This window comes from Homo sapiens, chromosome 14 (assembly GCF_000001405.40).
Source record: "Homo sapiens chromosome 14, GRCh38.p14 Primary Assembly".
NCBI classification, from domain to species: domain Eukaryota; kingdom Metazoa; phylum Chordata; class Mammalia; order Primates; family Hominidae; genus Homo; species Homo sapiens.
In genome coordinates this window covers 81,477,988-81,499,566 of record NC_000014.9, presented here as the reverse complement: position 1 = coordinate 81,499,566, position 21,579 = coordinate 81,477,988, and the positions used below count along the sequence as shown (strand labels likewise).

General features: G+C 37.9%; 1 protein-coding gene across 5 annotated transcripts in view; it reads left to right on the top strand.

Annotated features, from left to right (window-relative positions):
- The window catches only part of SEL1L (SEL1L adaptor subunit of SYVN1 ubiquitin ligase), a 62,307-nt gene that overhangs the window by 34,287 nt on the left and 6,441 nt on the right, over positions 1–21,579 (top strand). For 2 of the 5 annotated variants that reach the window (XM_005267988.4, NM_005065.6), the window contains exons 8-20: positions 49–108; positions 1,073–1,154; positions 1,521–1,675; positions 4,430–4,486; positions 7,019–7,087; positions 9,102–9,179; positions 10,253–10,315; positions 11,625–11,712; positions 12,029–12,177; positions 13,113–13,278; positions 13,821–13,895; positions 15,170–15,342; positions 19,827–19,955. In XM_005267988.4, the coding sequence (XP_005268045.1) occupies positions 49–108; positions 1,073–1,154; positions 1,521–1,675; positions 4,430–4,486; positions 7,019–7,087; positions 9,102–9,179; positions 10,253–10,315; positions 11,625–11,712; positions 12,029–12,177; positions 13,113–13,278; positions 13,821–13,895; positions 15,170–15,342; positions 19,827–19,955 (1,344 nt within the window). Of the gene's footprint in view, positions 1–48; positions 760–1,072; positions 1,155–1,520; positions 1,676–4,429; positions 4,487–7,018; positions 7,088–9,101; positions 9,180–10,252; positions 10,316–11,624; positions 11,713–12,028; positions 12,178–13,112; positions 13,279–13,820; positions 13,896–15,169; positions 15,343–19,826; positions 19,956–21,579 lie in introns of those variants that run through there. The other 3 variants (XM_047431676.1, XM_005267989.5, NM_001244984.2) reach the window with 2 other exon arrangements.

Genomic DNA, 21,579 nt, shown 5'->3' with positions numbered 1-21,579 from the left:
AATAAATGCGTGCCTATGTTCAGTTAAACATGTTTTGTTCTTTCACAGGCTCTTGTATATTATACATTTGGAGCTCTTGGGGGCAATCTAATAGCCCACATGGTTTTGGTAAGTAGACTTTAGTGGAAGGCTAATAATATTAACATCAGAAGAATTTGTGGTTTATAGCGGCCACAACTTTTTCAGCTTTCATGATCCAGATTTGCTTGTATTAAGACCAAATATTCAGTTGAACTTCCTTCAAATTCTTGTTAATGGATATAACACATGGAATCTACATGTAAATGAAAGTTGGTGGAGTCCACAATTTTTCTTTAAAATGATTAGTTTGGCTGATTGCCCCTAAAAAGAGAGATCTGATAAATGGCTCTTTTTAAATTTTCTCTGAGTTGGAATTGTCAGAATCATTTTTTACATTAGATTATCATAATTTTAAAAATTTTTCTTTAGTTTTTCAAAATTTTGTAAATGGTGGCTATAGAAAAACAACATGAAATATTATACAATATTTTGCAACAATGCCCTAAGAATTGTTAAAATTCATGGAGTTATTTGTGCAGAATGACTCCAGAGAGCTCTACTTTCTGTTTTTTACTTTTCATGATTGGCTGTCTTCCCATTTATTCTGGTCATTTATTGCTAGTGACACTGTGCCTGCTTCCAGTAGTCTCATTTTCCCTATTTTGCTAATTTGTTACTTTTTCTTTGCTAATTTGGAAGATTAACTCATTTTTAATAAAATTATGTCTAAGATTAAAACTGGTTCTAAGCAAAAGCCCTTATAATTTTTCTCTTATGAGTAAAATGCACACACTTCAAAAATAAAGTTTATGACATCTATTTTGATTGCTCTAGGAACTATATTATTTATTTCCTTGCTCTTAGCTATGGCCTTCTTGTTGAAGTTGCTGAATCCATTACCTCAAAACCTAACACTTAGCATAAATAAGGTGTTAGTGTACTTGGATCAAATGACAGCAAAATTCTGGGTATGCTTAGCTTTATTTGTTCCACGAAGAATGACACTGAAGTACATGAAACTGCTGCCTCCTCACGTGAAGTTGTTTTACAGGGTTACAGATACTGGGCTGGCATCGGCGTCCTCCAGAGTTGTGAATCTGCCCTGACTCACTATCGTCTTGTTGCCAATCATGGTATCTATGTTTCCCCTTTTACCTTTTAGGAAAAAAAAATAAATGGAATTAACTTTAAACATTTCTATTTTTATTGTTCTATTTGAAGTATTATAAATGGCTCTTTTATGTGGACTCATCTTTAAACTAGTTGAGGTTCAGAAGTACTTTTTTCTTTATATAATTTTGCTTTAGGTTCTATTTACGTTGTGAAAAAAGTTCAATTTATTAATAGATTACTGATTTGCGATCTATATAGACTACTGTAAAAACAGCTTCCTTTAACAATGTGTTCGTCAACGTTTGGCAGCTGGAATTGTACTTCTCTCTCTCTGGAACAATTCTTCTGATTTTCCTCCACCTTATTGTTTTATCCCTCTATTTCAGTTGCTAGTGATATCTCGCTAACAGGAGGCTCAGTAGTACAGAGAATACGGCTGCCTGATGAAGTGGAAAATCCAGGAATGAACAGTGGAATGCTAGAAGAAGATTTGATTCAATATTACCAGTTCCTAGCTGAAAAAGGTGATGTACAAGCACAGGTACGTGTTTGAACATCTCACCAAATATCTTTACTGCATTGTATATTTTAATCTGTGGGGGACGGGAGCAAGCACTTATATCTGTAAGTTACATTTTCATTGCCCTGAGCAATTATGAACTACATATTAGAATCACCTGAGCCCCTTAAAAAAAAAAACCAAGAGTCTCACACTCTCAGGAGATTCCATTTGGGTTAGTGTGGGATGGGGCCTAGGCATTGAGGGTTCCTAAAACTGTCCAGGTGACTCTCCCGTGTACTGCCCCTAAAAAAATCACTGCTTGAACAGAGCAGCATTAACACCGATGATGAAGGCTGTTACTGGAGTCACCAATGATGAAAACTGTCACTTTCTCTAAACAAGAAGTCCCTGGAATATTTGCAATATCAGATGCTCTTCAGAGCTATTTACCATTCGTGTTTCTTTGGCTCATCTAAAATCATAATTTCTTCAAGGTCAAGAACAGAAGTAAGCTCGTTTAATGGAAGTTGTATAATGTCCGTCAAAGTACCATGTGTGCACACACAGGTTTCGTGGCTTCTTTTGATATTAAAATAAAAAGAACTTTAACATTTATATTTTTTTCCACTAAGTTTGCAATTATTTCTAATTTAGGACATGTACAGATGAGCATTAGATACTTATTAAGAACAGTTGGTTTTAAGACTAGCAGTGGAGTCTTAAGGAAAAAAAAACGTAGTGAAACGTAGATCTAAATGTTAGCTGATAGAAATTATAATAAACTTGTTCAATTAAACATCTTATTTTTACATTATTGTAAAATTTAGTTTACTTAAAATTTTCTGTTTTACTTGCTTTCTGTGTATCTTGCTTGTTGTGTTTACTCTTCTCTCCTTTCTTGCCCTTTTTTGGTTGAGTGCTTTTTCCTGTTGCATCTCTTCCCCTCTGCCAGCATGATGCTACTCTTGTAGTGGTTATCTAGCGATCACAACATGCATCCTTGACTTACCAAAGTCTGGTACGATGAGCACTTTTACCATTTCCAGGACAGCACAGAGATCTCAGAGTATTCTGTGTGTGTTTGATTTTATATATTTTGGTACCATGAGATACTGTTGTTTTGTACAGTCCATATTAATTTACATTTATTTTCAAATTTACCTTTTCATTGCTTTTTATTTATTTTTTTATTTTTTATTTTTTGAGACAGATCCTTGCTCTGTTGCCCAGTGCCACTATCTCAGCTCGCTGCAACCTCCGCTTCCCGGGTTCAAGCGATTCTTGTGCCTTAACCTCCCCAAGTAGCTGGGAATGCAGGCATGCACCACCACACCCAGCTAATTTTTGTATTTTTAGTGGAGATGGAGTTTCACCATGTTGGCCAGGCTGATCTTGAACTCCTGGTCTAAGTGATCCCACCCACCTCAGCCTCCCAAAGGCTGGGATTACAGGCATTAGCCACCACACCTAGCCAGCTCTTTATTTCTTACTGTATCTCCCAGCTTCTAGTAAGTTTCCTTTTTTCTGAAGAGCACCCATTTGTGTTTCCTTTAGAGCAGGTTCACTGGGGACAAATTCAGTTTTTTTTTTGTTTTTGTTTTTGTTTTTTGAGACGGAGTCTCGCTCTCGCCCAGGCTGGAGTGCAGTGGTGCAATCTCGGCTCACTGCAAGCCCCGCCTCCCAGGTTCATGCCATTCTCCTGCCTCAGCCTCCCGAGTAGCTGGGACTACAGGCACCCGCTACCATGCCCGGCTAATTTTTTTGTATTTTTAGTAGAGACAGGGTTTCACCATGTTATCCAGGATGGTCTCAATCTCCTGACCTCGTGATCTGCCCGCCTCGGCCTCCCAAAGTGCTGGGATTACAGGCGTGAGGCACCGCGCCCGGCCCAAATTCAGTTTTAATTTATGTGAAAATGCCTTTATTTCACTTCCACTTTAGCAGGATACTTTGTGTTTTTGTTTTTTGTTTTGTTTATTCATTTGTTTGTTTTTTAAGACAAAGTCTTGCTCTGTCACCCAGGATGGAGTGCAGTGGCACGATCTCGGCACACCTTAACCTCTGCCTCCCAGGTTCAAGCAATTCTCCTGCCTCACCTACCAAGTATTTGGGATTACAGATGTCCATCACCACACCCAGCTAATTTTTGTATTTTTAGTAGAGATGGGATTTCACCATGTTAGCCAGGCTGGTCTTGAACTCCTGACCTTAGATGATCCACCCACCTCAGCTTCCAAAAGTGCTGGGATTACAGGCATGAGCCCATCGTGCCTAGCCCGTTTTTTGTTTTTTTGAGAAAACATCTCTCTCTGTCGCCCAGGCTGGAGTGCAGCAGCACAATCACAGCTCACTGCAGCCTCGACCTCTCCAGGCTCAGGTGATCCTCCCACCTCAGCCTCTCAAGTAGCAGGGACTACAGGCGTATGCTACCACGCCCGGCTAATTTTTCTATTTTTTTGTGGAGACAGGATTTTGCGATGTTGCCCAAGTTGTTCTTCAACTCCTGGGCTCAAGTGATTCACCCATGACCTCCCAAAGTGTTGAGGTTACAGGCGTGAGCCACCGCACCTGGCCGCAAATGGTACTTTGCAATTACAAGTACACGTTTTTACTTTTCAAAATTTTTAGGTTAATTAAAGTAGAATAGCATTTTCAGGAGTTAAGACTAAATCTTTTTGTTTTTTGAGTCATGAACAGAAGCCATTTTACGACCAAATCATTTCTTGTTGGTCTGATTTTAATTGTGTGCCAGATGGTACCACTTACTTTTGCCTTGTTTGTGATCATTTTCAGGTTGGTCTTGGACAACTGCACCTGCACGGAGGGCGTGGAGTAGAACAGAATCATCAGGTAACTACCCTGTTCCTAGGGCTTTGCATCTCAGTTTTAGCAGGAAATGATGTTCCCAATGTATTTCTTGCTAAGTCAATACCAGTATCAAACTTCTGTCATTTAAACACCCATCACAAATGAGCTTTCAAGATGTAACCAACCCCTAAGAAAGCTGAAGAATACAAATATTAGTACCTACTATGTGCCATTCACTGCTAGGCATTCACCATGCAATATTGGACAAAATAGTTTTGGTCTTTGACCTTTTGGAGCTTTAACTTTAATAGGAGTATTAGATATTTTTTAAATGATCACACCAAATATAAATTGTGGTTATTCTTACAAAGGAGATTTAAAAGATACAATAATTGGTTAATGGGTAGGAGGTACCGCTTGCCAGGGAAGACTTCTGTAAAGAGAAGTAGAAAACATTTAAGTTGACCCTGGAGATAAGGTCCTTCCAGGCCAAAAAGAACGGTATGTGCATAGGCCCAGAGACAGGAAGGAATATGGCTAGTCTGCCCATACTACAGGAATATGACTGGTCTGCCCATAGTACATGAAACAGAACTGAGATTAAGCAGTGCCTGATCACATCAGCATATCCCTGCAGCACTTCAAGGAGCTACAAAGATCAGCATGTTCAGATTTGAAAACAATGGCTTTGGCTGCAGTATAGAAAGTGAATTAGAAGACCCCAAGAATAAAATCAGGCAGATCAGGGAGGGGAATATTCGAGAAGTTCAGGTGAGAGAGAATGTGGCTTGGACTAGAACTACGGTAAAGGAAGATAGTAGTGGATTCAAGATGTATTTGGTGGTAAATGTAACAGGCCTTAGGGATGGATGGGATATAAGTGAAGGGGAGCTGATATCTTAAGCAACCAGTAAGATGGTATTGCCATTTGCTTAAATTGAGTTGCTGGAGGAGAAGCAAGTTGAGGTCAAGAAGAGAAGATTTTAGGGATATGTTCAGGCATTGGATAGTGTGTTCAGAGGTAGTCGAATAGACTGGATTGAAGCTGAAAATATAAATTTAGGAGTTGCCATCATCTCGATGGTGTGTGAATCTATGGGAATAGATGAGATTGCTTAGAGAATGCAAAGTGAGAATGGAGTCCAAAACTGAGCCCTGAAGAACTTTAATGTTCAGAAGTCAACTGATAGAAAAATAACCAGCAAAGGAGACTTAGGTGGTACAGGTAGACTTAGGATGGAAACCAGGAGAGTGTGACATCTTGTTAGCCAAGCTAAGAGTCTGTCGAGAAGGAAGCCATGATGGACTCTGCCAAATGTTGCAGAGAAAGGTGGAGTGAGGTGAGCTGAAATTTAGATTGGCAGTATGAAGATCATCACTGGCCTTGATGAGCTGTCTTTTTGATGTAGTGTATGGAAGCCAATTAAGACTAGATTGCAGAGTGAATTGAAGTGCATGTCACCAATTTATTCGAGAAGCTTGGCTGTGAAGGAAAGTAGCTAACAGAACAGTCATCATTGGAGAGAAATTGGGGGTCTAAAGGAGATACATATCTTGTGTGTTTTGGTTTGAGTTTTATTTTTTATTTATTTTATTTATTTATTTATTTATTTTGAGACAGGGTTCACTCTGTTACCCAAGCTGGAGTGCAGTGGCGCAGTCTCGGCTCACTGCAACCTCCACCTCCTGGGTTCAAGCAATTGTCCTGCGTCAGCCTCCTGAGTAGCTGGGAATACAGGTGCATGCCACCATGTCAGGCTAATTTTTGTATTTTTAGTAGAGACGGAGTTTCACTATATTGGCCAGGCTGGTCTCGAACTCCTGACCTCAAGTGATTCGCCCGTCTTGGCCTCCCAAAGTGCAGGGATTACAGGTGAGAGCCACCGTGCCCTGCTGAGTTTTATTTTTTGATGATGAGATTATAGAATGTGATTGAGGGGGAACTGGTTCCAAAAGAGGGAGAAGTTAAGTCAGCAAGGAAAATAAGAGGAATAACCAATGGTACAAGGTCCTTAACAAAAATGGGCTGCAATACAGTTGAGAGTGGTGATGATGAATTTCTGCTGATGCTAGTGTGTTTACTTAAGTGATTTTTAAGTAGGGTCAAGAATTTTTCTCTAAACAGTACAAGAGGAATGTATTCCTTTAGACAACAATGAAAATATGCTCCATGTCTTGGAAAGACTTCTAGTTTTTCCTTTCTCCCAGGTTATCATTAGAGAAATAGACCAAAGAAGTCAAGCTGCTCTTAAATGTCTTTTAAGCAGGCTGATGTTCGCTTTGCCTGTAAGTAACAGGAGGCTTGTTGTACCTTACGTTTAGGCAGCACAAGAAATTTCTTTGCATCTATAATTATGCAGATGACTTAATGATAAATGGTACTGTTATTTGGTAAAATAAAACTTCTAGATGTACTGATTTCTCTTTCAAAATATTGGCAACTGGGTATTCTTGTTTTTAAAGCACTGTAATATAACAAGATTTTTTAAATGTTCCTGAAATAATTATTTTGGCTGAAAGTCAAAAGCAGATTCTGTTAAAAACTAATTATTTTAATAAATTCTTTTCTCATAGAGAGCATTTGACTACTTCAATTTAGCAGCAAATGCTGGCAATTCACATGCCATGGCCTTTTTGGGAAAGGTACTGTACATCCTGTGAATGTTTTATGTAATAGCAAGAGGTGTTTGCATAATTAGCATGTATTGTGTTCAGGATCTACAATTTACCAAAAATAAATTGGAAATAAGATTTCTAGTGCAAGACTATTATATCTTAAAGTGCTGTTCTGAGGCATTTTCTTAGGCAACTTAAATATAACATAGTGTTTGCAGCCAGGCGCGGTGGCTCACGCCTGTAATCCCAGCACTTTGGGAGGCTGAGGCAGGTGGATCAGGAGGTCAGGAGATGGAGACCATCCTGGCTAACACGGTGAAACCCCATCTGTACTAAAAATACAAAAAATTAGCCGGGTGTGGTGGTGGGCGCCTGTAGTCCCAGCTACGTGGGAGGCTGAGGCTTACAGTAAGTCGAGACCACGCCACTGCACTCCAGCCTGGGCGACAGAGCAAGACTCCATCTAAAAAAAAAAAAATAGTGTTTGCTCATCAGTATGTTAATTCTTCATTGAAATTAGCTCTCACTGAGCTCTTACTTTTTGTGTATTGTATGCAATAATGAGGAATGTATTCTTGATGCTGTGCGGTTTTTTGCTAAGACTCTCACAGTTGTCTGTTTCCTTCCATGCTGAATAGAGGCAATTAGAGTTTGTTGAAATTTATCTGCAGAGTTTTTAATTGTCTTAAATGTGATAGCCATGACCCACCTCTTCTCATTGTAGCTGTGTTCTCAATCAAGGGAACAGAACATTTAAGTCTAGAAACTTTATAAATAAATTCCATATGTCATGGAAGAATCTCAAAACTTTTTCATTATTTTGAAACATAGTATAAATCAATGGGTATTTTCACTTATAACTAAATCCTAAAGTAAGGAAGTTTAGATGGAATATATCACAAAGGTTTTTACAATAGGGAAATTTCATCATGATTTGCCTCATGATCATACTAGTAATTGGGGTGTGGTAACTACATTTAAATATTCCAGCTGTTCCATAGCATAGAACTTGGTATTTCCCTCTGTTTTTGTTAAGCATTTAAGAACGTTTCATTCCTCCTCTTTTGGTTCTTGCTCTGAATTACTGTCATTGTCTTTAAAAACTATTTTTTACATTTATTGTTTCTTTAACATATATGTGAATAAAGACAGTCTTGACCATTCTGTTTTTCTTTCTCTTGGCCCTTTATCATTCTCCATACCTGATGCTCTAATTGTTTAGTGTTTAAACCCTCTTCAAGTAAACCTTTTAGTTACTTCGTTTCCTGAACTTAAGACCCACTTGTGATCTTATCCTGGGGAAAGTAGTGGTAGAGGAGAAAGAAGAATGAATGCCGCAAGCAGCTTCCCCTTTCCTTGTTGAATCACTGATCTGATCCTAAGCAACTTACTAACCATTTGACTTCCCTGGAATAGAGTGAGAAAAATGATTCATGTTGGGCTTAAAGATTTCTTCTGAGACTAATATATGAGCTGATTTTATGTATTCATGTTTATAAATAAGTCATAAATTTGAGATGGCAACAGAGTATATAATTACTAAAATGTTTGCTTTTAAGAGTTTGCTTTTAATTCTTTTGTTTTTTTTGTTTGTTTGTTTTGTTTTGATATGAGGTCTTGCTTTGTGGCCCAGTCTGGAGTGAAGTAGCAAGCTGTCAGTTCACTGCAGCTGCAGCCTCCTGGGCCCAAGCAATTCTGCTGCCTCAGCCTCCTGAGTAGCTGGGATTACAGGCACACGCCACCACGCCTGGCTAATTTTTGTATTTTTAGTAGAGACAGGGTTTTGCCATATTGGCCAGGCTGGTCTTGAACTCCTGACATCGGGTGATCCACCCACCTTGGCCTCCCAAAGTGCTGGGATTACAGGCATGAGCCACTGTACCCGGCCTTTGCTTTTAATTCTAAAATATCCTGTGGGGAATTCTAAATTTTTTGGAAAGATTTAATGAGATCTGACAAAACTCAAAGGAGATGAGAAAGGAGAAAAATGTAATTGGAGAGAGGGTTACAGCTCTTACTGAAATTGGGATCTGTTTTCCAGATGTATTCGGAAGGAAGTGACATTGTACCTCAGAGTAATGAGACAGCTCTCCACTACTTTAAGAAAGCTGCTGACATGGTAAGGCTTTGTCTCAGTGTACTGAAATGTGTACCATATTACTAATATTTTAATAAATGAATTTGTTATATTAAAGGGTTAATCATAACCAACTCATGCTATACATTATTGAAACTGCATATTAAGTATGATTCATGTGAATGTATTAATTAAACAAAGCCCTCCCGATAAAAGGCAATTTTTTTAGGGACCAAGTTGTTGATTTTTAATTGTGAAGTTTCACTGAGAAGTTTCCTAATCGGGGAAATACTGATTTTTAGTAATGGAACTTGAACTTATATAATCTACCCTATTTGTATCACAACATGAAATTTAAAAGCTTACATAATAGGGTACTTTTGATAATCATAGTACATAATTTAGGCTTTCTTTGGCTCAGAAAACTGCATATGAGTACCTGAAATCTTGTATGTCTTCAGTATGTACACTTACCTCTCTGTCAACTATTATACATGTTACTGTAGTTCCAGATGTCACTTGAATGCTTCCCAAAGGAATGCTATGACAATCTTTTTAAAGATGTCTTCTGTCCCTCTGAGTTTAGGCAAATTCTAGATTTTTTTCTTTCTAGTCCCAAAACAGTGATTTTCTTTGTTCCATGACACTCCAATAATCCTAAGTATATCTTTGTCACCTGATAGCAGCATTGCTATTATTACATGATTATGCTATTATTACAAGGTGTTCCATGATATCCTCCCTCTTTATTGGAGTGGGATGTTACCAGTGAAAAACTGCAAAAATGTGACCTGCCTTTCATTTTGATGAAATACATTAGTCATGCTTTATGTCATAAATTCATGGTACAGATGGTCATAAAGTAAGTCAACAAAATGTAATTCTAAATGAATTTACTATTTACTCTTTTTCAGCAAATTACCCAAAGCCCCCAGATGTCTAAAAGTCAATATTATGTTTAGTCTGATGAGAAGAAGAAAGTTTTGTTTTGAATTGAAAAGTACTAAGACATGTTTTTGAATATGCTTATAAATGATTTATTTTGCAGTTATTTATTCTTGCCTATTTTTGAATGAATTCTTTTCACTCTTTTGTCTGATTTCTCTGCTTTGCAGGGCAACCCAGTTGGACAGAGTGGGCTTGGAATGGCCTACCTCTATGGGAGAGGAGTTCAAGTTGTAAGTGTTCAGTCTGACATTCTCTCTTTAATGAGCAGTCAGCTGGAGAGGTAGGGACATGTTCCTTAATTAGCTTCCAGTCAGCCCAGGTGGGGCTGTTCCATTGTAAGCAAAGCTGAACCTCTTTCTGTTGTCTGAGTTTGTCTCACTACCACCCCATACCCGACAGACACCATCTCAACTGTCTTAGAACAGCTCTGTGTCTGGCACTTTCTCCCAGAGGTATGGAGTTGTTTCTTGTTCTTCCATCTCTGCTCTCTACCCCACGTCCTCTAACCATCTCTCAGGACTTAAACATCTCCTTGCCTGCTTTTTTACTCAATCCTGACAAAATGCATAACTGCCTTCCATTGAGGAGGAGGAAAGCTTTCTGTTCTGCCCTTTACCCCTTCTAGCTACCACCTGTCTTCTCCCAGCCCTTCACTCAGAGTCAAACTAAGCTGCTGTCATTCACTCTTGAGTTCTTAGCAATCGAACTTCTGCTTCATGGAACTATACTCTCTGTACAGATCACCAGTAACCTCCTAAATGTCGGTCCAATTGACATTTTTTGGTTCTACCTCACTTGACCTCTCGCTTCCCTGGTGTTCTGTCTGTGTCTGGGTTTCCTTGGCCATTGCATCTCATCCTTCTGTGCAGCCTCCTCATGTTGGATGTCCCTGGATTCACGTTGCAGTTTCCTTCTCTATTTGATCTTTCCAAGTAATATGTGCTTTTAATTTGAGGCTGAAACTAAGAGCTAGGTTTAAGAGCTAGGTTTTTAATATCTATAGGTATTCTCTAACACAAAAGACAGTAATGTGTTCTCATTTTGCGGCCTTCTAGTCATTCTAGGACACTAAAATTCAGTAGTAACCTTTATTTTAACTTTTCTTCTTGGATACATATGACCTTTGAAGTATAATAGTCATAGTGTTTGGTAAGGTACACGGAATAAATGAATAAGGAGATAATTTTCTTTCTTTAATTTTAGGAAAATTGAGGTTTAAAAAGGGTTGATTGGTTAGCAGAGAAGATTGACTGTTTCTTAATTCCTGGTCTGATGTTCTACTAGTTTTTATGCTTTCTGAGAGCAGCATACAAATTGTTTCACAAAAACTCTATTTACTTTTCTTCACCACCTTAAATATTAATCCCCCTATGACTTAATGTATATTATTATCTATTATAAGAATTAGAAAGTGGTCTTTTTAATGGCTCTTTGGGAATATTTTTTTATATGCTTTGTTCATTTTTTTAAATAAATCTCTTAACTTTTGAGTATGTCTGCCTTTTGAGCTTTCTCATCATATGACATCTTTTTCTACAGAATTATGATCTAGCCCTTAAGTATTTCCAGAAAGCTGCTGAACAAGGCTGGGTGGATGGGCAGCTACAGCTTGGTTCCATGTACTATAGTAAGTAACACTGGAATTAATGATGGATACACCAAGATCTAAATTAAGCTGTTTTCTACTAGATGGCATTATGATGTGGAAATGGGTGCTATCAAATTCTGGCTGGTTAAATGTTCTCCCAGTTCAATGATTTGTACATCTTGTTTTTCATTGTAAATTATATTAATCTGTATCAGTGTGTTAGCTTGTATTAGATTCACATATTTACTCAGTAAGAATTCTTTCATTAGAGTTTTATTCTTCATATATAAGCCTTCTCTGATACTTAGCTAAATCTTAAGTCTATTATCTCGTGTGATTTTTTTTTTTCTTACAGATGGCATTGGAGTCAAGAGAGATTATAAACAGGCCTTGAAGTATTTTAATTTAGCTTCTCAGGGAGGCCATATCTTGGCTTTCTATAACCTAGCTCAGATGCATGCCAGTGGCACCGGCGTGATGCGATCATGTCACACTGCAGTGGAGGTAAGGTCTTTCCTACCAGCTTGTGTGTAGGGAGTTGATTTGCCCAGCAGGAAAGTCTGCGCTTTCAATTCTGGTTTTTTTGTATGTTTTCTTCTGTAGTTCTAGACTCAGCCTACCTAGCTTTGATATACTGAGGGAAGACCGAGGGGTCTGTGTGTAATTACCATACTTATTTATTCAGTGTCTCCCTATTACAATCAACTGTATAAGGGGAGATACTGGTGTCTGCAGTATCTCTAGCACCTAAGACAGTATCTGATAATAATCAGCATCAAAAAAATATATAAGCTGAGCACAATGGCACGTGCCTATAGTCCCAGCTACTTAGGAGGTTGAGGTGGATGAAGGCTTGAGCCCAGGAGTTTGAGACCAACCTGGACAACATAGAAAGAACCTATCTCTTAAAAAAAAAAAAAAAAGAAAGAAAGAAAAAGAAGTTGAATGAATGTTCCAAAAAGGAATGCTAATATCTCCTAATTGGAAATTGTCTCTTAGCTCTCTCTTAGACTTGGCACTTTAGAGTGACATTGATAAATGCTTAGCAAAGTTTCTAAATCTCTGTGCTTTAGTTTACTCACTTGTCAAATGGGGCTTTTAACAGGACTTACCTCCTAGGGTGGTTCCTCATGAATCTCATGGGAAGATTAAGAATGGTAATATACATAAATCATTACAACAGTGCCCGGGCAGAGTAAATGGTCATTTTTGTAGTACAATAATTGTGTACTGTTTTTTTTTTTTATAAACCTGTTGACTTCTAAAGAGTAAGTGAAAACTTTAAATAAGTATCTCAAACTTTTATGTCTGTTCAAGAAAGCTGCCAGAAATTGAAGGAGCAAGCTTAATAGTCATGTGTAACCAAAGTGCATAAGTGATTTTCTGGTATATCTTTCTTATTTTCTTCTACTGATATTTTTTTTCCCCACCTCACACAGTTGTTTAAGAATGTATGTGAACGAGGCCGTTGGTCTGAAAGGCTTATGACTGCCTATAACAGCTATAAAGATGGCGATTACAATGCTGCAGTGATCCAGTACCTCCTCCTGGCTGAACAGGGCTATGAAGTGGCACAAAGCAATGCAGCCTTTATTCTTGATCAGAGTAAGGTTCATTTTAGTCCTGCCTTAGGTTTAGAATGTACGAGTTCACACCAGTAAACTGTTTAATGTATTCAAAAAGAAAAGCTACTAGGAAACATTCTTTATTATTGTAACTGGAACTGAACACACAGGCTTAAGTTATTAATATTTTACTTTAGCCATCAAAGTTAGTTTTATAACGAGTTGACTGTAGAAATGGATTTGACATTCATTTTAAAATTAAGCACTTTGCATAAATGTATTTTTCAAAATACAGTGGATACAAAAATGCCATTTTCCCAACACTGTAGAAGAGTGACTCAGTAGTCTCATGACTGGTTCTATAGATACAACATGTTTCACAAAGTAGTGCCCTCTTGCATCCAGTGATTGCTTTGAACTCACTATTTTAGTTCAGTAATTAATTTCAGTATTTGTTTTAATTTTTATATCCTAATTCTTGTTTAACTTATGCTTCACCTATCCTTCCTACTTTGCAAATGAAAATTAAGTCTAGTGCCTTTTCTTAAATGCCTGATTTGTATTTCATTTCTTTTCCTGTAGGAGAAGCAAGCATTGTAGGTGAGAATGAAACTTATCCCAGAGCTTTGCTACATTGGAACAGGGCCGCCTCTCAAGGTAAGTGATTAATTCTAAGATAAGAGTTTCACCCAGGGACCTCCCTATGTTGTTTATCTCCCATGAACATTAAATCATGAAGCCGAGTACTGTGGCTCACGCCTGTAACCCTAGCACTTTCGGAAGCCAAGGCAGGAGGATCACTTGAGGTCAGGAGTTCGAAACCGAAACCAGCCTGGCCAGCATAGTAAAACCCTGTCTCTACTAAAAAAAAAAAAAACAAAAAAAATTAGCTGGGCATGGTGGCAGGCTCCTGTAATCCCAGCTACTCAGGAGGCTGAGGCAGGAGAATCGCTTGAACCTGGGAGGCAGAGGTTACAGTGAGCCAAGATTATGCCACTGCACTCCAGCCTGGGCGACAGAGCGAGACTCCTTCTCAAAACAATAAAATAATTAATTAAGCAGAGATACTGTGACTTAATTTGTTTGCATATTATTGGTATTTATTCTTAACAGAAGTTTCTAGAGCCAGAGTTTCTAAATTGGGTTGTAAAGTCTTTGTACTACACATTTCCATCAAGCTATGATTCACTCTTTGTTTTCCAGTTTGAGGCCAGTATACTGTGTGAAATGGGAATTAAATAGAATGTATGATAGAACATTAGTCTGAAACCTAAGAGACTTTTCTTTTTCTTTTGAATATTTATTTTTTATACATGTTCCTTTCAACATTCTCTGCCTGTTCCCTTCTCCAAACCTAAATGGTCAAGCTGGACTATTTTAAAATGTAAATGACATTATAAAGTAGAGCCTGATCATTTACATAGGAGTGTTTGTGAAAGAAGGGAGTACAGGTTGAGTATCCCTTATCTGAAATGCTTAGGACCAGAGTGTTTCAGATTTCAGATGTTTTTGTTTTTTTTGTTTGTGTTTGGCATATTTGCACATACGTATTGTTTGAGCATCCTTAATCTGAAATCTGAAATGCTCCTGTGAGCGTTTCCTTTGAGCATGACCTTTGAATGTCATTTCAGGTTTTGGAGCATTTCAGATTTCAGCTTTTTGAATTAGGGATATTAAACCTGTCCCCCTACACACACACCAACTTGGTTTTACCTCTCTGTATTCCAAAGCCTTCTGCAGAAGAGCTACACTTCTAGTTTAAATTTTTACTGGACTTTATAACTTGGCTGAAAGGATTTGTTACAAAGTTTGTGTACTATGAATTAAAATTCTTTGTTTTATGTAAGCATGTCAATGGGAGGAGAAAAAAGTTTGATCTGTTTTAAACATACTTTATTTATTGGCAGTTCTGCATTTAACTTTTGTTTAAGGCTATACTGTGGCTAGAATTAAGCTCGGAGACTACCATTTCTATGGGTTTGGCACCGATGTAGATTATGAAACTGCATTTATTCATTACCGTCTGGCTTCTGAGCAGCAACACAGTGCACAAGCTATGTTTAATCTGGGATATATGCATGAGAAAGGACTGGGCATTAAACAGGTGAGTGTGGCTTCCAAACACGTTTGAATCACATAATTGTGATTGGGGAAAATACTTGCATTTGTATAGAAAATAGACTTTCCTTGACATTCAGTTGGATTTCAGGCCACTAAATTATGGGACTGATTTGTAATATTTCAGAAGACTGCCCTTCCATCTCTCATCTTCCAGCACGCACAGATACTGCTATCCACGCTGTTTTATTTAGGGATTAAGCTGAAGACAGACTCATGAAAATGGAAGTGCAGTGCTTCCTCTGCTGATAACTACTTGTTTGAGAAACTATCTGTCCATCGTCAGCCAAATTCTATTTTTTTCAAATTATTTTGAAATGAATTAAATGTATTCTACTGATAAATTTATTTCTGATTCTTACACTTGCCTAATGAAGTCTGTCATTCTCTGGACTCATGACTTAAGGTTTTTCCTGTGTGCCCTCAAAAGAATTTGGAAAAACTACAGACCCCCTTGTACATTTTTAAGTTGGCATTTAAATTTTTTCTTAAGTTTCAAAGGGTCTAAGTTCCAGCTATTTTAAGCATTAACATTTTTAAATAAAATTAATTACCCTTAAAATATCCAATAGAATCTAAATAACAATAATTTAATACCCACTTACCATTATTAATTTTTTAGAAATATACAAGCAAGTTTTTTAATTGAAAGCTAGGTCTTTTCCTGTTTCCCTAAATTTATGTTTTCTACCACGACTTCTGTAGAATGTAATACTAATGTATTGTTTTTAATGCTTAGGTCTTTTATTGATTACTGTATCATACTTACCTGAAACAAACAAGTGTATAAATTCATTTTGAATTTTATTACCAGTGATCTAAGTGTTAAGAAAAATTCATGAGATATTACTAGTCACAGTTGGTCAGTTAATGCATTGTTGATCAAATCTACAAAATACATTTTGATAAAACTTTGCTTTTTGTATTATTAATTGAAAATGCATCTTTTAATGAGATAAATGGAGTATTTGTTAAAAATTGAGATTTCACATTAATTCTGTTTTTCATTTTTTTAAATGTATGACTAGAATGTCATGTATGTGAAAATGGGAAGAATTTCACTATAGCATGGTCACTTAATTCTTCAAACTACCTTAAGAGTTAGATGCCAAAAATCAGAGTGACTTGTCATTAGAAATTATTTTTAATGATCAATCTCCTGACTACTTGATAGGTCCCTCTTCAGTTGTGTTGAAAGCAAAGAATTGGAAACCAGAGACTTGTGAAAGCATGCATTCCCTGACACTGGGACCTTTCACTTTTCTTATTTTCTAGGAAGAGTACAAAAGGCTTTACCAAGACTTATGAAATAGGCTGTTAATTATACTCCTTCCTGTGTCACTTAGAGGCCCTTTGTTGACCTAAGGATTGAGGGAAAGTTGTTCATTTTTGCTAATGCGGTATTTTCTTGACAAAATGCTGCTGCTTTGTTCACATTTGGACATTTTCTTTTAATTTCAGTATGTAAATATTTATATTTTAAACTTACCTTAATACTTAGAATATTACTAATATTAGATACTTAAATATAGTTCAGTCAAGGCTCAGGAGCAGCAAACTCAGTACATTCAACTTCTGGAAGATCTCTGCCACTTAATGTAGTAACTGAAGCTTCTCTTTATTGTCAAACCAGTCATCCAGTGTCCCAAATTAGACTTAGCTTCTATCAGAAAGGCTGACGGATTTTTGTCGTTTTTTTTAAATGGAGATGGGGTACCACTATGTTGCTTAGGCTTGTCTCAAACCCCTGGGGACTTAAGCGCCTTGGCCTCCAAAAGTGCTGGGATTGCAGGTATGAGCCCCTGCACCCAGCTGACTTTATTTTTAATTCAAGTGAAGTTTAACATGACTAATATAAAGATCACATGTAAGTTATGGCTTTCATGGAGTACATCTAGTAATAATTTACTGACTGTAGTCAAAATTAAAATGATATAACTAATCTGTTTTTATAATAGCTTATAAAACAAGAAAATGTGTTCTAATTTAATTTGTAATACACTGTATAGCTAATAATAGAAATTCTTGTGAATAAAGAATATGATAAAAGGCATAGTACTCCTTTGATAAGAGTAGGGGGAGGGAACTTTTGTTTAGCTTTTGAGAATAAATAATCATTTATGAAAATAAATAATCATGTATGAAAATCAGTAACTCCATTACTTTTTTTTTTTTTCGGTGAGATGGAGTCTCACTCTGTTGCCCAGGCTGGAGTGCAGTGGCACAATCTTGGCTCTCTGCAACCTCCGCCCTCTGGGTTCAAGCGATTCTCCTGCCTCAGCCTCCCGAGTAGCTGGGATTACAGGCGCCTGCCACCACGCCCGGCTAATTTTTGTATTTTTAGTAGAGACGGGGTTTCACCATCTTGGCCAGGCTGGTCTTGAACTCCTGACCTCATGAGCCACCTGCCTCGGTCTCCCAAAGTGCTGGGATTACAGGCGTGAGCCACTGCACGCGGTCCCATTACTTTTTTTATAAGACATCGTGATCACCTTTTCTACTTTTTTTCTTTTGAGGTTTAAAATATTCATGCTACTAAAAACAATCCCCCATTTAATATAGTTAGGAAAATATTAAATATGAGGATTGACTATAATTGGAAAAAATCATCATATTATTTGATAAGTTTTAATTACATACTAGTGAATCTATTTAATTACCCTAGTGAATCATCCAATGTATGAATCACATGAAGTTTGATCCATGATCTTGAAAAATATAGCAGTCGAAAAAACCATTTGAGTTATATTTTTCTAAAAACTCAGACACTAACCATACTGTTAGCATTATTTGAAGATGCTCTTCTTTTTAAATAATGACACACCCTAAGGACAAGAATAAGGAATAGCTGAAAATAACTGCTTGTATTTAAATATGTTTGGAGGGGGAGTCATTTTTGGTCTTTAACCTTTCTTCCTCATATCTCATGGAATTCTTTCTTAAGAGTTTGGTATTCTTTGATAATAGGGAGTAGAAGTGAGATTTTTAAGTGAAAATTCCCACCATCCCATTCTATTACATATCTGAATTCAGAACACTCCAGCCTGGGCCAAAATTAAGAATGCCTGGTTTCACCCTTTACAGAAATATATCTAACACAGGGAAACACAAGATGCCCTAATAAGGGTTTATAATTAGTCAATAAAGGAGCCTTCTCCAGAACCAGTATTTCAAGGTATCTCTTCCGGTGGTAGCCCCTGAGGTTTCTACACCCCAGGGCAATGCACTTGAGGAAAGAGTGGGGTAGATCTCTTCCGGTGGTAGCCCCTGAGGTTTTTACACCCCAAGACAATGCACTGGAGGAAAGAGTGGGGTAGATAAGGGCTGTGCCTTCCTTTAGCAAAGCGAAGCAGAGAAACGTTGCTGTGCATACAGGCCTATTCTCAGCAGATCCCTTTCAGGAAAAAGCACATATGGAAGCTGCAGAACTGCAGAATCGAGTCCCTTAACATGTCCATGCAAGTACCTCTTGTAAAATCTGTTTCTTTTTTTGGAAACAGGGTCTCACTCTGTCACCCAGGCTAGAGTTCAGTGGCACCATCTCAGCTCACTGCAACCTCTGCCTCCTGGGTTCAAGCAGTCCTCCCACTCAGCCTCCCAAGTAGCTGGGACTACAGGCAGGCGCCACCACACCCAGCTAATTTGGCTTATTTTTTGTAGAGACAGTTTATGTTGCCCAGGTTGGTCTTGAACTCCTGGCCTCAAGTGATCCTCCTGCCTCGCTCTCCCAAAGTGTTGGGATTATAAGAATGAGCCCACTTTGGGAGGCTGAGGCGGGCGGATTACGAGGTCAGGAGATCGAGACCATCCTGGCGAACACGGTGAAACCCCGTCTCTACTAAAAATACAAAAAATTAGCCGGGCGAGGTGGCAGGCACCTGTAGTCCCAGCTACTCGGGAAGCTGAGGCAGGAGAATGGCGTGAACCCTGGGGGGCGGAGCCTGCAGTGAGCCGAGATCGCGCCACTGCACTCCAGCCTGGGTGACAGCAAGACTCTGTCTCAAAAAAAAAATAAAAAAGAATGAGCCACCGTGCCTGTCATCTGTTGTAAAATCTTGAGTGTTTCTACCCCACTTTGAAGATCACTGTCCAGAACTGAAACCAGACGTTGCTAATACTGATTGAAGTTTTAAGTAGCAAAAAATTAGTGTGAGTTTCAGAAGTCGCCCTTGGAAATCTCTAGGTTAACAGTGTTAATGCATAGATATATGGCTGTATGCAGCATATCTACACAGCAAATTAGATGTTATGTTGGGGGAAAATGAGTTTTTTAATTAAGTTTTTCAATATTAAGCAGTTAGATAATTAAACGAATTTTACCCAAGTAAAGCTTGGCATTTTTGTTTAGGTGAGGGAAACTCATTTTAAAATGAAAACCTCAAAGGTAAAATAAATTCGTCTAATATGTTCACTAAATATTTTTACTTATTTTGACAAGAAATGCATTTTTGTTTCTTACCTGTATTATAGGATATTCACCTTGCGAAACGTTTTTATGACATGGCAGCTGAAGCCAGCCCAGATGCACAAGTTCCAGTCTTCCTAGCCCTCTGCAAATTGGGCGTCGTCTATTTCTTGCAGTACATACGGGAAACAAACGTAAGTGGTCCGTACCTCTTTTCATTAAAATATAAATGATGGAAGGTCTGTCCTGGAGGTTTGTTTTTCAAAAGTTGAGAAGCACAGGGAAGAGTGGTCCTGCAGGTATCGGGTGTGTTCCCTTCTCCTCAGCTCAGGTACCCGAGGACCTTATCAGGGGAGGGATAAATGCAGGCATAAAGCAGCTACTGCAGTTTTTAGGTAGCGTTTGACACTTCCTGACGCTAAAGCATTTTTCATGGAGGCAGATGTTTTCTGGTTTAGGGAAAACTGAGACTAACTCATGGCAGTTTGAAACAGTATTTAATTCAGTAAACATTAAATCAGATGACTCAAACCAGTCCCTTAAAAAGAAAAGGAAAAAAAAAAGAAGAATCTGAGAACCTCCCCAGGTTGTTGTACTTCAGATTCTTCCGATAGTGAAGCATTAAGTTGAAAACACCACCCAAATTTTCTTCTCTAAAAATAGCGTGAATTATTTAAATAGGCTAATGGAAGAACCTATATAGGAAGTGGGTTACCCATTTTCTTCAAAATTACCAACTTTAGTTGGCAATACTGGTATGTAGGTACTCTTGGGTTCTGCCAGCTTTATATTTTGTTTCCAGTACTATAGTTCCTAGAATGGATTAACTGGTAGAGCATTTCACTCTGAAAGCCCTAAGATGTTCAGAGCCCTTGTTTCTAACATAGGCTTATTCAGGACAAGGAAAGTTTCTTCAGGACCAGAAAAGGATGATGTTTCACCCTTTTGTTAATGTCTTTCAGTTTTAGATTCAAGAATGGGCTTTCCCTCATGTGTGTCACAGGTATAAATGTAGTCCATGCTGCTCCAGCATCAGTGAAAAGAAATGGACTTGTCTAGTCCATGCAGCTGAAGTCCTCCACAGATAGGGTTCCAGAGCACTGGTCTTGTGGGACTCTGGCCTCCCAGTCGCTTCCACATGTGTAATGTCAGTTGCTATAATTGCATGGTAGCATGAGTCAGGTGTGCTGTAACCGCTGCCAATTGAAACAATCTTTGTTCCTTTAATTAAAAGCTGATCGTGTGGCAGCCTCCTCTTTCTCTTTCAGTACCATTTCAGACCTTTATCTCTCACAATTTTTATTACTAACTGTTGGTTATAGTCTAGGACTTCATCTTATAATATGCTGTACTGGGTATATTGTATCTTTGCTGTTTTTTTTAATACAGAAGTATAAAGAAGACAGTAAAAACGCCCCATAATCCTACCACCTAGTTATTCCAACTAAAAAGAAAAAGAGAGTATAAGACTAATAAGTATCGATCATAAGAAAGTCAAACAGTACAGAAGAACACAAATCTCCCATCCCAGATTCTTCCCCAGAGAACACAATTAGTGGTTTCTTGTCATTTTTTTTCCAGAAAAATTTAGCACCTGTACCTACAAACGTGTTATAGAGATCTTTCAAATGTAATTTTATATAAAATTATACCCCATGTTTACTTTCTTAATGGGTAAGTATAATAAAAGTCAGAAAGTATCAGTGATACTAAAACAATTAAAATATTATAGGCTAAGAACATAACTTTCAGGTTTCAATTCAGATGTTAAATATTTTGTGTTTTAGTTAAATCCTAATTGAGAAGCATTATTCATTC